The sequence below is a fragment of the Homo sapiens genome, chromosome 1, assembly GCF_000001405.40.
Source record: "Homo sapiens chromosome 1, GRCh38.p14 Primary Assembly".
NCBI classification, from domain to species: domain Eukaryota; kingdom Metazoa; phylum Chordata; class Mammalia; order Primates; family Hominidae; genus Homo; species Homo sapiens.
This window is the reverse complement of record NC_000001.11, coordinates 69,714,525-69,729,684: the sequence shown is the minus strand read 5'-3', so window position 1 is coordinate 69,729,684 and position 15,160 is coordinate 69,714,525. Positions and strand designations below refer to the sequence as shown.

The following is a 15,160-nucleotide window of genomic DNA, read 5'->3' as shown; positions in this document are numbered from 1 at the left end:
CGAATGCCAGCCCATAAAAGCAGCCTGGAGGGGGGCTGTACCTGCAAAGCCACAGGGGCAGGGCTGCCAAAGACTATGGGAGCCTATCTCTTGCATCATCAGCCTGACCTAGATGTGAGACATAGAGTCAAAGAAGATAATTTTGAAGCTTTAAGATTTGACATCCCTGCTTGATTTTGGACTTGCATGGGGCCTGTGGCTCCTTTGTTTTGGCCAACTTCTCCCATTTGGAATGGGTATATTTACATAATACCTGTACCCCCATTGTATCTAGGAGGTAACTAACTTGCTTTTGATTTTACAGGCTCACAGATATAAGGGACTTGCCTTGTCTCAGATTAGACTTTGGACTAGGACTTCTGAGATAATGCTGGAATAAGTGAAGACCTTGGGGGACTGCTGGAAAGACATGATTGTGTTTTGAATTGTGAGGACACGAGATTTGGAAGAGGCCAGGGTAGAATGATATGGTTTGGCTGTGTCCCCACCCAAATCTCATATTGAATTTTAGTTCCCATAATCCCCACATGTTTTGGAAGGGACCTAGTGGGAGGTAATGGAATCATGAGGGCGGTTACCCCCTTGTGCTGCTCTTGTGATAGTGAGTGAGTTTTCATGAGATCTGATGGTTTTATAAGGGGCTTTCCCTGCCTTTCGCTCAGCACTTCCCCTTGCTGCTGCCATGTGTAGAAGGACATGTTTACTTCCCCTTCTGCCATGATTGTAAGTTTTCTGAGGCCTCCTCAGCCATGCTGAATTGTGAGTTAATTAAAGTTCTTTCCTTTATAAATTACCCAGTCTCAGGTATGTCTTCATTAGCAGTGTGAGAATGGATTAATACAATACTATTGCCATTATCCAGCTTATGTGCATGCTCTTCAGCAATTTATTCCTTTTCCTTTAGGCTCAGCTGCAAAACTTTAAGTTCACTTCTTTCAATTGCCAAATGGGTAACAGTATGAATGAAGTTGAAGCTTCCTTTATTGCAAATAAGTTCTATTCTCTATTAGGAAAAGTTGATCCAATTTCATAAAATGAAAGAAAATGTAATTAATTTTCACATTTCTTTGGCTCATGATCATGGAAAGAGCTGGGATTTGGAGTCCCTTTTTCTTTTTCTAGTTCTCTTACTCTCCACAATGGCAGATATTTTGATGTAGCAATAACTATCTAATCTGTCTTGTTCACAAGGAGTACACTGCACAGTAGGTGAAGCCAATGAACTGCAGGATAGCTTTATCCTTCCTTCCCTTGCTGCATATTTTATGGCCTTTAATGTAGCTTCATTTCTTGTTAAATGCATTCTCCAGGCAATTTGACAGATGGGACTGACTTTTTTTTTGTTTATATGGTATTTTCAAAGCAAGAACAAATCTGCCCATTTCAAACAGTTTCTAGTTAGATCTAAGTAAAGATGTTACATGATTCCCATTTTTTTAATAGGGAGAGTGTGAGTGGGGGTTGTTTTTGGTTAAATCGAATTTAATAGACTAGAAATTTATACTTTCCAGAAAACCTGTCACTAATACATCTTAAATATTAAACTATTCTATCAATACATTAAAAAGAGAAATAAATCTATGGTACTATATATTCTGAAAAAAGTAATAAAACTGCCAGTAAATACACATCTCAGGTGACTGCCAGAGACAGCTGGATATTGAATTAAGCACCTGCAGGGAATGGAAAGACACAGGGTGATAAAAATGGTTGACACGAGGATATAAGTTCATGTTGATTCAAATCCCTTCTGGGAACTATTTTTACACCATCCTCACACTCAGAGCTTCCATAAATTAATAATTGCCAAAATGATTAACAGCTTTTAATCTTTTTCTATATTTATGAACATAAGATTATGGTAAGATTTCGTAGTTATAATTGTAGCCTATTTATTTAGTGTCTTCTTCTAAGGAAATGTAAAGTCCCACAGAAAATATGTAAAACCAGACTCTTCAATACACTCTGAGCCTTCAAATAATACATCAAGTCTTGGTTTATAGTTTCTAAATTCCTCAACTTAGAGCTCACACAGAAAGCCTCCTTTCTAATGAAAATTGATCTAGAAAAAGCAATTCTGTAAAGTATGGTAATTTTACACATAAGTATTAATGGGAGTGGCTATAGGAATCCACTTAGACTTGTATTGTCCCCTATGGTACTAGTGACAACTCAGTGAAACAGTGAAAGAAAAGACAGCTACTTAATTGCAGGACATATAAGTAAAAGAAGTAGCTATCTAAGAAGAAAATCTGTCAGTAAAGGAGTCAGATTGGCAAAAAGATGATGGCGGGGAAAATTTGGAAGAGAGAATTAGTGGCTATAATTATAAAAACCCCTTACAGCAAAGCATTCTTCACATTCATTTTCTTCATTCTCTCCTGGGAAGCTGTGAGGTGCTGACCATCCCAGATCCCTTGCAGGATGGAATCATTCATTCTCCCAGCTGCCAGAAGGTTGGCCACTAATGGCTCACCAGTGCATCCCTCTCTGGGCCCTGCCCTTGACTGAAGGGAATTACCTCATCCAGGATACATCCCTCCAATGACTGAGGCTGGTTTGAAAGCCCAGCTGCCTTGCCTCATTTTGGCACAATACTGAAGGGCTTTCCCAGCTCCAGTGCTACCCTTAGGTTCCATTGAGGCATGTGTTGCAACCTCACTGTAGTTCAAATTCTCTCTCTACCCAGAACCACCCAATAATTCTCCTGCACACAAATTTTTACCTTGGAGTCTGTTTCCAAGGAATCTGACCTAAGATACAGTCAGTAGCTTAACCTACATGGTTATAAAGTTCTCCTGCAGGTCCCCAAATATCTTAACCACCAGATTCTATGAACTCAGACTTTCTTTTCTTTGCAGTTTTTTATTTAATTCTGTTATTTTTTCCTTGGTATTCTTTTTTTTTTCTTCTGTGGACATAATTGACTCTGGCCCTCTTACATTTTCAAATTTTAAAGAAATTTAAAGGCAAGTTTTGCTCTCTATTCTCTTCTTACCTTGCTTCTTGGTTTTCTTGGTCAACCTCATTTATACCCTTGGCTTTAGTTACGATCTTCATGGTAAAATCTCCTGAATCCACATCTTTAGCCCAGATCTCTGTTCTTCATTTCAGAAACACACTTACCCACATAGTATTGCTACCTGGATATCCAATGACTGTTCCTGGTAGCCATTCTCTCTACCTTCTTCCATAATCTCCCTCAATCCATCCTTTACACTATGACCAGTGGTGCCATATTTAATGACATCAATACAACTATTGTCATTGTTCCATTGTTGCTGTTTTAAGGAATCTTTACATTTCTATCTAATAAGCCTATAACTCTATAGAGGTTTATTATGGTGATAAAATTTTATGATAGCTTCTTCATCCAATTTCTTTCAAGGAAACTCTTTCCTCCTGGCAATACAGTAGAAATAGAATGGCCCTTCAAGTCATATAGAAATAGACTGCAATGGTTTTCCCTTTAGTAACCAGGGTAACTGTCAAAAAGCCACTTAAGTAACTTCTCTGCATCTCAGTTTCTCATATTACTTATACAGATAATATGAAGGCTAAGTAAGAAAATGTGTGTATGAATGTATTTTGACTACATTGAAATGACTTGATAAATGTGAATTTTACTCTCTTCTGCTGTTCCATCTTTCTCTAGGTTAATGGTTATAGCTTTAGTTTAAACAACTAAACTCAGTTAGTCAATTCCAGCTAGAGAGTGCTGTCTAGGCTACAGGTAGGGTCCAGGCCCTTTGTTCAGCACAGATTATTTAGAAATATAGTCAAACAGACATGGCAGCATCAAAACTTGATTTCCTGGTATCGGAACACTCAGGGCACAGAAACCAAGCTGCTGGGTCATGTGGGGCTCCCCAGAGCAGCACAGGTCTGGACAGGAGCCTGGAGTGTGAAGCTGGTTGTAGTCTCTCTCTGGCCATCATGGCCTTGAGAGACAAACACGGTTTGACAAGTTCCCTTCTTGCCTCCAATCTCTCTTTCCTGTGTTGACTATTTCTGGCTCACCCCAGAGTTCCAATAACTTCCTCTAATCATATTAAAAACGTTTAGGCACCTTGAGTGTATGTTGGCATTTCGTACCTATACAGAATCTGAAGAATCTTGTCATCAATTTCATTCTTTAGATTTTCAATTTCTGCCCATATAAATGCCACCTCTAACCTGTAACAATTGGTTTTCAATTTTAGGTTATTCTTCATGGACAATATTATATTATTTAAAATTTCTCTTTGGCTTCCTAACAGAATGACTGATATACTTTCAGTAGGATATGAACTTGGAAGTTGTTTGGAGTTAGTACAGTTGACCCTTGAACAACACAGGTTTGAATTGTACGGGCCCACTTAAACGTGGATTTTCTTCCACCTTTGCCACCTCCAAGATGGAAAGAGCAACCTCTTCTCTTCCTCCTCCTCCCCCTACTCAATGTGAAGACAAGGATGAAGACCTTTATGATGATCCACTTTGACTTAATGAACAGTATATATATTTTTCTCTTCTTTACGATTTTTTAAATAACATTGTCTTTTTTCTGGCCATATCATAAGAATACAGTGTCTAATATACTCTGTAATATACATATATATATAAAACATGTATATATATTAATTGTCCAGTAAACAGCGGGTATTAGTAGTTAAGCTTTTGTGGAGTCAAAAGTTATATTTGGTTTTGTGATTGCTTGGGAGGATTGGTGCCCCAAACCCTTATGTTGTTCAAGGGTAACTGTATTTGTAATAGTATAAGCTTATCACACTTTAAAAAAACTAAATATATGAACCAAATAAATGTCTAATTATTTATAGTAACAGTTGAAAAGGATTTATTCTAAAATAGCAAGTTCCTATAGTACAGTGAAATGATTTTATTTAAAAAAATTCAATAACCACAAAATTGTATAATTTTCTGGAGTTTCTCTACCACCCACAAGTATAAGTCTCTGTGACTTCTCATCTCATTTACTGCTAGAGTTCCAGCACCTAGAATAGTACTCAGCAGGTAACAGATGCCCAATAAACATTAGTTGCATAAATAAATCCTACTGTTAAAAAAGCATACATTTGTCAGTTTTTTGTATAATTTATCATATTTTATTCTTCTTTACAAATTGTGAGCAAGAACTTCTTTTCAAAAATAAATTTGTCCAATTTGATTTATATTTCTTGATTCTCAAATAATTATCATAAGCAATGTTTATTGCATGTTATGTGCTATGTGTCCTGTTGCTTGCTATTCTAATCCATCTCTCAAACTGCTGTCACATTTATATTCCATATGAATAGCCCCAAATAACTCATTCACAAAGACATAGGTTTTCATGTGTTTTTTGAGATGGAGTCTCGTTCTGTCGCCCAGTCTGGAGTGCAGTGGTGTGATCTTGGTTCACTGCAACCTCCGCCTGCTGGGTTCAAGCGATTCTCCTGAAAGGCACAAGTTTTATCAGTTTTGTTTGCTGCTTTATTCCCAACACTTAGACAATATTAAGAGATGAGTACAATTATATCCATTTTTTTCACAGATGAGGAAAAAGAAGCAATGAAAAATGAAGGAATGTGCTCAATTTTAAACAGTCATAGAAGATAGTGCTAGATTTTAAACTAGACAATTCAACTCCAGAACATGTGGTTTTAACCACTGCTTCCTTGACTTCTGTGTCTTTGCTAGCCTTGAGTCCTACTTGCAGTGAATGGAATGTTTTCATCTCCAAAATTTATATGTTGAAATTTTAACCTCCAAAGTAAAGTATTAGGAGAAGGGGCCTTTGGGAGATATTGAATTCATGACAGCAGAACTCTCAAAAATGGGATTAATGTCCATATAAAAACGACCCCAGAGACTCTCTTGCTCCTTCTACCATGTGAGGTTACAGTGAGAGCACAGCTGCCGATGAAGAAGGGGACCTCATTAGACACTGAATCTGCTGGCACTTTGATCTTGAACTTCTCAGCCTCCAGAACTGTAAGAAATAAACGCTGATTGTTTATAAGTCACTCAGTCTATGGCATTTTGTTATAACAACCCAAAAGGACTAAGATATTTTTCTACCACTGTAACTTGTAAAAAATAGAAGAGTCTCTAATATCATATGAAATGAATAGTCATGAAAATGAAGGTTTTAATTTCCAAATTCTCTTATTAATAATTTCTGACAACTGTCCAGTAAAACACAAAGGAAAACAAGAAAGAAGTCGGAAGGACTTCTGGCAAATTATTTACTGTCAGAATGATAAAAAAATCAGCTGTATGCCTTTCCCATTTTTGGTATTTTGAGACAATTTTTTCTCTTAATATGTTAAGTCTCAAATGAAGGTGTGCTGCTTTCCGTTTATTGACATCTGTTATCTAGGAAATGACTTTTTCAGGATAGCCATATAAAAAACGTATGAAGTCATCTATGCATTTCCTAGCAGATGTTAAAAGTTCCCTAATTGTAAAAGTGAACTTTTTCACAATCATAGGTGGGTCAAAATAAAAATAATTAAATAATTTAGGAAGACAGACATCCTGTCATTAATATCTATAAGAATTACCTAACTGCTTCGAGAGAATTAAATACCAATAGAAATTATAAATAGAAGAACCACATATAATAGAATTAAATAGTTCATTGCATTACAAAAACAAAAGATGTCTTTTACCTCATATACCTTTAAAAATGATGGTAAAAACTAACATAAAAATGGCAAAAAACTAACATAAAAATCAAATTTTAAGCTGGGGAAAATATTTGCAATGCATTTGAAAGAAAATGCATATATATTACATACAAAGAGTGTACATATGTGTATATATCACATACAAACAGTATGGTGTATACCATATATGGTATATATTGCATACAAAGAGTAGTTACAAAGCGATAAGAAAAAACCAACAATAAAAAAAGTCAAAGAATATCAATATACAATTTATAGAAGAGTATATGACTAATACACATATGAAACAATGCTGAATCTGTCTAATAGAAAAACGCAACTTGAAGTAATTCAGACATTACTTTATGCCTGGCAGAACGAGAAAAATGAGAAAAGTGATCACACCCAACTTCTGGGTAGCAATGTGGGCAAACGATATTAAATATATAATCCTGTGGAAATGTAAACCATCACAGCTTTTGAGTGAATTATCCATCTATTAAATTTAGAAAGTCTTATTCACTACATTATGGATACTGGCAAAAATTTGGAAGAAGCTGTATGCAAGGCAACATTATAAAATCTAGCAAAATTACAAAAAGGCATACCATTGTACATAGCAATTTTATTTCTTCTAGATATGCTTACATAGATGCAAAACAGTCTTGCATATGCTCATTTAGAGCAGCTATGTTCATGATAGCAAAAGACTGGTTGCAAAATAAATCAATACAATGTACGACAGTAAGGAGCTGTCAAAAAATAAAATTAGAAAGTTTTTCTGTGAGCATATATGAAATTATCTCTAGTATTTTCTATTAAGTAAAAAAGTCATTGAACAGTGTCTAAACGTGCTACAATTTCTATGGAAAAGGAGAAAATATATATATATATATGTGTACATAGGCTTACATATGTGAAAACTATTTCTGGAAATTTATATAAGAAGCTGATAATGCCAGTTAATTCTCTCTAGAGAGGGAAATTGGCTAGGGATAGAGTTGGGAGAGACTATTTTCAGTTTATCATTTAGAAGCTTTTGATTTTTGAATCACATGAGCTGTTACCCATTGATATTAAAGATGATTTTTTTGCATGACAGTGTGAATGTACTTAATGCCACTGAAGTATACACTTAAAAAAAGGTTAAATGGTAAATTGTATTTTATGTATATTTTCACACAATAAAATACTTTTAAAAATAATAATTTTCTTAAAGTACTTGTTTCTCAACAAGTCTGTACCTAAGGATGTATATATCCTTTGAGAAATGTAAGTAAATAATGATAGATTCAATTTGGCTCACATACCATTATTTTACATGGCAAAAAATTGAAAACAGGATAGTAAATTATCCCTAATTAAGAGATTTTTAATGAAAATTATCCAGATATAAAATCGAATGTGGCCATTAAAAAGAGTACTTTATGAATGAATAAATAAATTGTGATATATTATATAATGGCATATTATTCAGTGCTAAAGAGAAATTAGCTATCAGTCAATGAAAGGACATGAAGAAAACCTAAATGCGTATTACTAAGTGAAAAAGGCCAATCTGAAAAAACTACACACTGTTTCATTCCAATTATATGACATTCTGGAGATGACAAAATTATGGAGACAGAAAAAAAATCAGTGGTTGGCAGAGATTAGGGAGGATGGAGCACAGAGGAGTTTTAGGGCAGTGAAACTATTCCGTATTATACTATAATTGTGGATATAAGTCATTATACATTTGTCCAAACCCATAGAATATACAACACCAGGAGTAAAACCTAATGTAAACTACAGACTTTGAGTAATAACTATATGGTAATGCAGGTTCATCGATTATAACAAATATAACACTCTTGTGTGGGATGTCGGTAGTGGGGGAGCCTGTAAATGTGTGGGGATAGATGGTGAATGGGAATGCTCTGTACTTTCTGCTCAAGTTTTGCAATTAATCTAACACTGCTGTAAAAATAAAGTCTATGTTTTTTCAAGTAAAAAGAATTCTGAGTAAAAGAAAAGAAAGGATACATTAGTCTGTACTAGTTGACATATAAAGATTTCCATGATTATTTTGAAGAGTTCTGGAGATGGATGGTGGTGATGGTTGCAAAACAATCTGAATGCAGTTAATGTCACTGAACTGTACACTTAAAAGTGGTTAGATGGTAACTTTTATGTTATGAGTATTTTATCATAAGTAAAAATATTTAAAAATATTTAAACATTATTTAAACAATAAAACCAATAAGCATCAAAGGAGCAACAATAAGATTAATGACTGTTCTTAACAGAGAGGATGAAAGCTAGAAGACAATGGAATGTAATCTTTGGTGCTGAAAGAAATTCTATAACCAGCAAAAATAAGGTTTAGAAACATAGATACAATAAAGAATTTCCAGAGAAATAAACACAGAAAGTTTCCAGGATACCAGCACTAAAAGAAATCCTAAAATGACTCCTTCAGACACAAGGAGAATATTTTCAGATGGAAACACAGATATGCAAAAGAAATGAATGACAATGGAAAAGTAAATGTGCAGGTAAATATAAATGGATATTGACTATATAAACACGAATAGAAATAGGTTCTAAGTAATCCTTAAACTGTGAAAAATGTCTTCATAATGGCACAAGATGGAGTTAAAATTTTCTAAGATTCTAGCAATATCAGGGAATTGCTAGTAGTAATTATTCATGTTAGACTGTAAAAGTTGAAGATGAATGTGCAATCTCTAGAGTAACCACTATAAGAACAGTATAAGAATGCATATCTAATAAATTAACAAATTAAAAATGGAATAACAAGAAGTATCTGTTTATTTCCAAAATCCAAAAGAAATTAATAAAGGAGAGAAAAAAATATAAGTAGGTGAGTTAAAGAGAAAATAAATAGTAACATGATAGATATAAACCCAAGTTTATTTTAATAAATATAAATGTAAATGGACTACGTAACCCAAGTAAATATCAATACTGTCAGATTAGGTTTTTTAAATGAAGGCTACTATAAGATGCTTACAAGAGATTGTAAATATAAGAACCAGAAGGTTGAAAGAAGGGTGCACAAAGAAAAGCCATGCAAATATTAACCAAATGTAAGTTGGCAGTGTTTGTGCTAAAAACAGAAAGAGTAGATTTTAAAGCAAAAGGCATTATTAGAGATAAAAAGTAACATTTTATAATGATAAAGTGATCAATCCATAAATAATGTAAATGTTAATTGTGGTTATCTTTTGAGTGGTTTTTAAAGCGATTTTTACATTCTTCATCATACTTTTTTGTATTGTTTGAGGTTTTTACAATATACATGAATTATTTATATCACCTGAAATAAAACAATAAAGCCATTTTTTACTGTAGACAGAAAAAGAAATAATGCAATACAAAGATTTAAGAGTAATCTTTCTAAATAAAAACAGTTTAAAAAGATTTAGTGGTTGTTATGCTCTGATTACAATTATGAAAATTAAGTCTATAATGCTAGGTCAAGAAAAATAAAAATAGAGCTAATGAGAATCAGGTGGAAAATTGCACATGAGAGTGTTATGTAATCTCATTTTCTTCTTAGTCCTATTTGTTTATTTAAGGATTAGAAAATAGTTAGATAATTCTGAGTGTATTTTCTGCAAGTAGATGATATAGGAGTACTTAAAAACAAAAAGAATGTGGGAATGATCCAAAGAGAGGAAAGAACTGATTCATTCTTTCATTCATTCATTCATTTATTCATTGAATAATTACTTATGAGTACCTAGTCTATGCCAAATACTGACTGAAATTATCATTTCTGAGGCAAATAGAATATTTGTCACTCTAATGTGGGAAATTACTTTTGCGATTATTAGATGGAATAAGTCATGCATATTTGATGGGATTACGCAAGAATAACACTTCCTTAACTAACATACTTTAAATTGAATTTGCTATTCAAATTATGGGGAGACTTAAAGTGTTTATAATAACGATATCCTGAATGATATTCTGAGAATAAGTAAATCTGACTTACAAAAATAAAACTACCCATAGATAAGTCTGAAAAACATAAATGAATCATTGGGATTGATATAGGAAAGAGATGAAGAATAAAGATGCTGTTGAAGAGGATTCGAAAACCATCTGGCATCGAAAGTTGGATTAGCTCTGTTGGGGCTCCCAATTACTGACTAATTGCAATATCCAAAAGCTTTTTTTCCCTCAATCATTCTCCTAGAATTTTCAGGAGCATTTAACACTGTTGCCCTCTTTGAATCTCTTGGCTTCTTTGGTTTCTTTTAACAAAACAGACACTGGAAGTCAGTTTTTCTCTTATTTCTATCAGTTTCTGTGGCTAATTCCTCTTTCTTCGAACAGAATTTTGATGACTGAATATTGATGATCCTAAAAGTTCTATCTGTGGCAATGTTTCCTTTTCACTCAGTACATGTTTTTTTGCCTGATAAAATTCTGGCAGCTTCTATCAGCATCTCTATTCAAATAGATCAACCCATGCTTTATCCAATCCCAGAGCTCCAGTTCTGTGTTTTCATTATTCCTGTGATCATCCCCCATTTTGCCATGCAGGAGACATACGAATGTTATGTTCCAAGCTACAGTTACCGTTTTAATATCCTCTATTGAAGTTAACTGTTATTCTTTTAGTGTTCCAGGTCTCAAATAATGAGATCACAAACGAAGTTGCTGTGGAATCTGGCAAAGAAGATATTCCTTTCAAATCAAGTTCTTCTTCTCTTCTCTACCTCTACCACATTCCTGAGACTGGCTTACAACAAGCCATTGATTTCCCTGTTTCCCAGCACCAAACTCCCTGCAGTCTAGTCTCATATTGCTACCATGTTTCTTTCTCTCTCTCTTTCTTTTCTTTTCTTCTTTCTTTCTTTCTTTCTTTCTTTCTTTCTCTCTCTTTCTTTCTTTTCTTTCTTTCTTTCTTTTTCTCTCTTTCTTCTCTTTCTTTTTCTCTCTCTTCTCTTTCTCTTATTTCTTCATTTCTTTCTCCCTCTCCTTTCTTCTTTTTCTTTCTAGTCTCTGCTTCTCTTTTCTTTCTTTCTCTCCCTCCTCTTTCTTTCTCTTTCTTTCTTTTTCTTCTTTCTTTCTTTCTTTCTTTCTTTCTTTTCTTTTTTTCTCTCTTTCTCTCCCTCCTTCCCTCCCTCCTCTTTTTCTCTCTTTCTTTCTTTCTTTCTTTCTTTCCTTTCTTTCTTTTTTCTTTCTTTCTTTCTTTCTTTCTTTCTTTCTTTCTTTCTTTCTTTCTTTCTTTCTTTCTTTCTTTCTTTTTTTCTTTTTTTCATGTTCCAATATCTTTTAAATTATGGCCTTCTAGAGTTCCTTCTCAGCTAAAGCTAATATTGACTATTATCAAGGTATCTATAAACACAGTTTTACAATTTTCCCTCCCTCAATATGAAGTTGGCCCAACTGAACTTTGAATTTTGAAGGTGCTTGCCTTTCCACCCCCTCATAGGATAAGCGTGTGCCACTTTATGGCAATCTAAGATGAAGAGTCTAATTTTATAAATCAAATACACTAAGGACTAATAATTTTCATTATAAAAATGTTTTTCATCTCTATTGAGTCCTTGCTTAGTATTCTTCTTATCAAAATGTGTGGTTCCAATTGTATAAATATATGATAGATTTATCTGTGAAGTATTTATCATTCATGACCTGTCATTCATAAAGCCATCAAAGAAGATTGAAAAGGAGGAAATGTCTGTTGGTTTATATAATTTTTTTTGAATCTGTACTGCTAAGCAATTGAAACACAATTTTACACATTTTCTGTGGTTATAGAAATATCTACTACTATAAAATTTTAAATATAAAACATTTATGCATAAAATTTTGATTATGGATACTACCATCATTTTGTATACATTTTTGTTTGCATGTATATTTTAATCATTACTATTGAATAAGTCCTATTAAATTAAGAACTAGCTGTATTAAGTTCTATCTTGAAAAAAAAGTATGTATATATGTATATATGTAGATATATATGTAAAATCAGTTTTTATTTGCAAACTTAGTTCCCTTCCCCATACCAATGAAATATTTATGTAAATACTTTCTAAAATCCTTTTAGCTTTAGTATTTTCTGATTTTATTACAATTTTCGAGATACATTTGTGGATAAAGAATCAACTCTGACCACTTTAATATGGAGCAATGAGATTTTCAAAGATTCTTCTTGCTATTCAAATAATCTTATTTACTCTTTCCACATTCTTAAGTTCATTTTTTATCCATTTATCTAAACATTGCATGCTTTCATCATTGAACCTCCTATTTCATTTCTTGAAAATGTCAGGAAATACTGATAAATGCAAAGCTCCCGCTTTGTGCCTGGATTTCATTTGATATCACCTTGAATTTTTGAAATGTAACCTTCAAAAAAGAATATAATTTCACTTTATTTCTTAGAAGCATTATTATAAAATAATATTTATGAATGGCTTATGAGAGGAATCAATGCATTTACATAGTGGATAAATATGTCACAAGACATAGGCAGATTCATTTACTCTTTTTATGAAGGAATAAGTATTGAATTAGGGGCTCTAAAAATAAGACCTGAGAGAGGATACAGTATTTAAATTCATGTTTCTTATAAAAGTAATTTCATTATTACTGACAGAAAATGAGTTTCCTGAGATTCATAGTTACCATGTTTCTTCCTAATTATTTTTGTGATGTGATATAGGTTAACATGAAAACTGCTAAGTATAAATTTAAAATTACAAGACTATTTGGTAATTATAGTGTAAAATTCCCATAACACTACTGAATTCTATATACTTAAGCATAGTAAAATAATATAGTATCTACTTGCTAGTTATTCCTGTCTCTGCAGACTTCTAGGTTGTGACCACTTTGACTTGCATTTTTTTTCATGTAGCGGGCTCCTTTAAAAAAAAAGAAAATTTAAAAAATTTCAATTAACTGCAATTATAAATTGACAAATGCATCTAAATGAACATAATAAGCAAGAATGGAATGTGAAGAGCTTAATCAGATGCTTCCCTAATTGTCAGGTTACATATCCTATAAGAATAATTCCACAAACACTGCCACTAAACATTAGAGCTGTGGGTATATAAATCCAGGGTGGAATAAAAGGATGATACTGTTGTCCAACATTCTTCCTTAATGCAACATTTTGGTACCTATAAGCAAAAATGCTTTGTACAGTGCTTTTCCTTCTTGCCTATTTTATTTCTAATAACTAAATAATAAATGTAAAATGTATTTTTCCTTATCTTGAATTTATAAAAAAATTTAAAAAATATTTTATAATTTAGATTCATACAGGTTAGAGTTGCCTTCTCCTCTAATTATTCTGAATCGATAAAATTTTATATCTTGCTATTATACCTTAAACACTGATTTGGTTATTCCCAGTGATCATTAAAACAAAACTAAATGCTTTGACATTGGTTAGTTATTATATGTGCATATAGTCATAGCTTAATGTATTCAGTACATTATAACTAAAATAATTGAGCCCAAAATCCCCAAATGCATTTGTAATTAAGTGTATTTTAGAAAAGTGACTTGCATGAGACTGATGGAGATAAACATATTAACTTGGTGTTGCAATTTGTATTCTATACATTTATTATCCCATGGTTGATATGGGAAATAAAAAAGAAAATGTACTTTAAATTTATTAATTTGAATACTCAATATAGAGCCTTTATATCTATATCTGTAAAACCCAAGACTCTCTATATAATCATTAAATGTATAAGTCAGGACTATAGAGAATTTCCATTTATCAGTGGGACAGAGAAGTACCTAGTTCATGTCCAGAGTCAGGCAGGGCCTGGTATGTCTTAAAAGTCTTAAAGGGAGGATTGATTATCATTATTACTTAGTGCAATGGTTCTATTAAAAATTTAAAAAAGGAAATCAAAAGGCCGCAAACTTCAAGATCTACTTAAACAAGCCAATTTTACACAGTATGACTTAGATACTAAAATCTTTTCTTGAATTTGGAACTCTAAAGGATATTTTGGAAAATAAAAGCTAGGGTGACAATATATAAATAGCACATAAAATGCTGAAGATTATGTTTAATTGATACAATTCTTTATTTGCACAAAATGCATAGTCTTAGAATCAATAAAGCTTAGCAAATGATGTGTTTAGGCAGACATAATTTCCTGATAATAAATGCATTATTAAAGTGAGATAGAAATTACGGTTTTAACGTGATAAAAATGCTCCTCCTGGTCTTGCCACTGTTCACAGAATTAAAAAAAACATCAGATTCCTAATCTTGCTATTCAAGTTAAAAAGTGATTCTCTGCCCCTGACTTTACCCACAACAGTTTTTCAATACATACTTTATGAACCAGGAAGACTGAAACACCTGGTGGAATCTTCCCCATCCTGGCCCCCACTACATCTTTGTTCATGTTGTTCCTCCCGCTAGGACTGCCCTTCTACTGATTTCTGCCTGTGGTTTCATCACTCTCATCAAAGTCCAGATAATGAGCTTCCTCTTCCAGGAAGCCTTT

At 33.1% G+C, this 15,160-nt stretch overlaps 1 protein-coding gene across 10 annotated transcripts in view; it reads right to left on the bottom strand.

Annotated features, from left to right (window-relative positions):
• Positions 1-15,160, bottom strand: part of LRRC7 (leucine rich repeat containing 7) — a 576,443-nt gene that overhangs the window by 414,680 nt on the left and 146,603 nt on the right. For 4 of the 10 annotated variants that reach the window (NM_001330635.3, NM_001366839.3, NM_001366837.3 and 1 more), the window contains exon 3: positions 13,467-13,543. The exons of the other annotated variants lie outside the window; for them this stretch is intronic. In NM_001330635.3, coding sequence (NP_001317564.1) covers position 13,467 — 1 coding nt within the window. In that variant the 5' untranslated portion in view covers positions 13,468-13,543. The remainder of the gene's footprint in view (positions 1-13,466; positions 13,544-15,160) is intronic. 10 annotated transcript variants of the gene reach the window in all.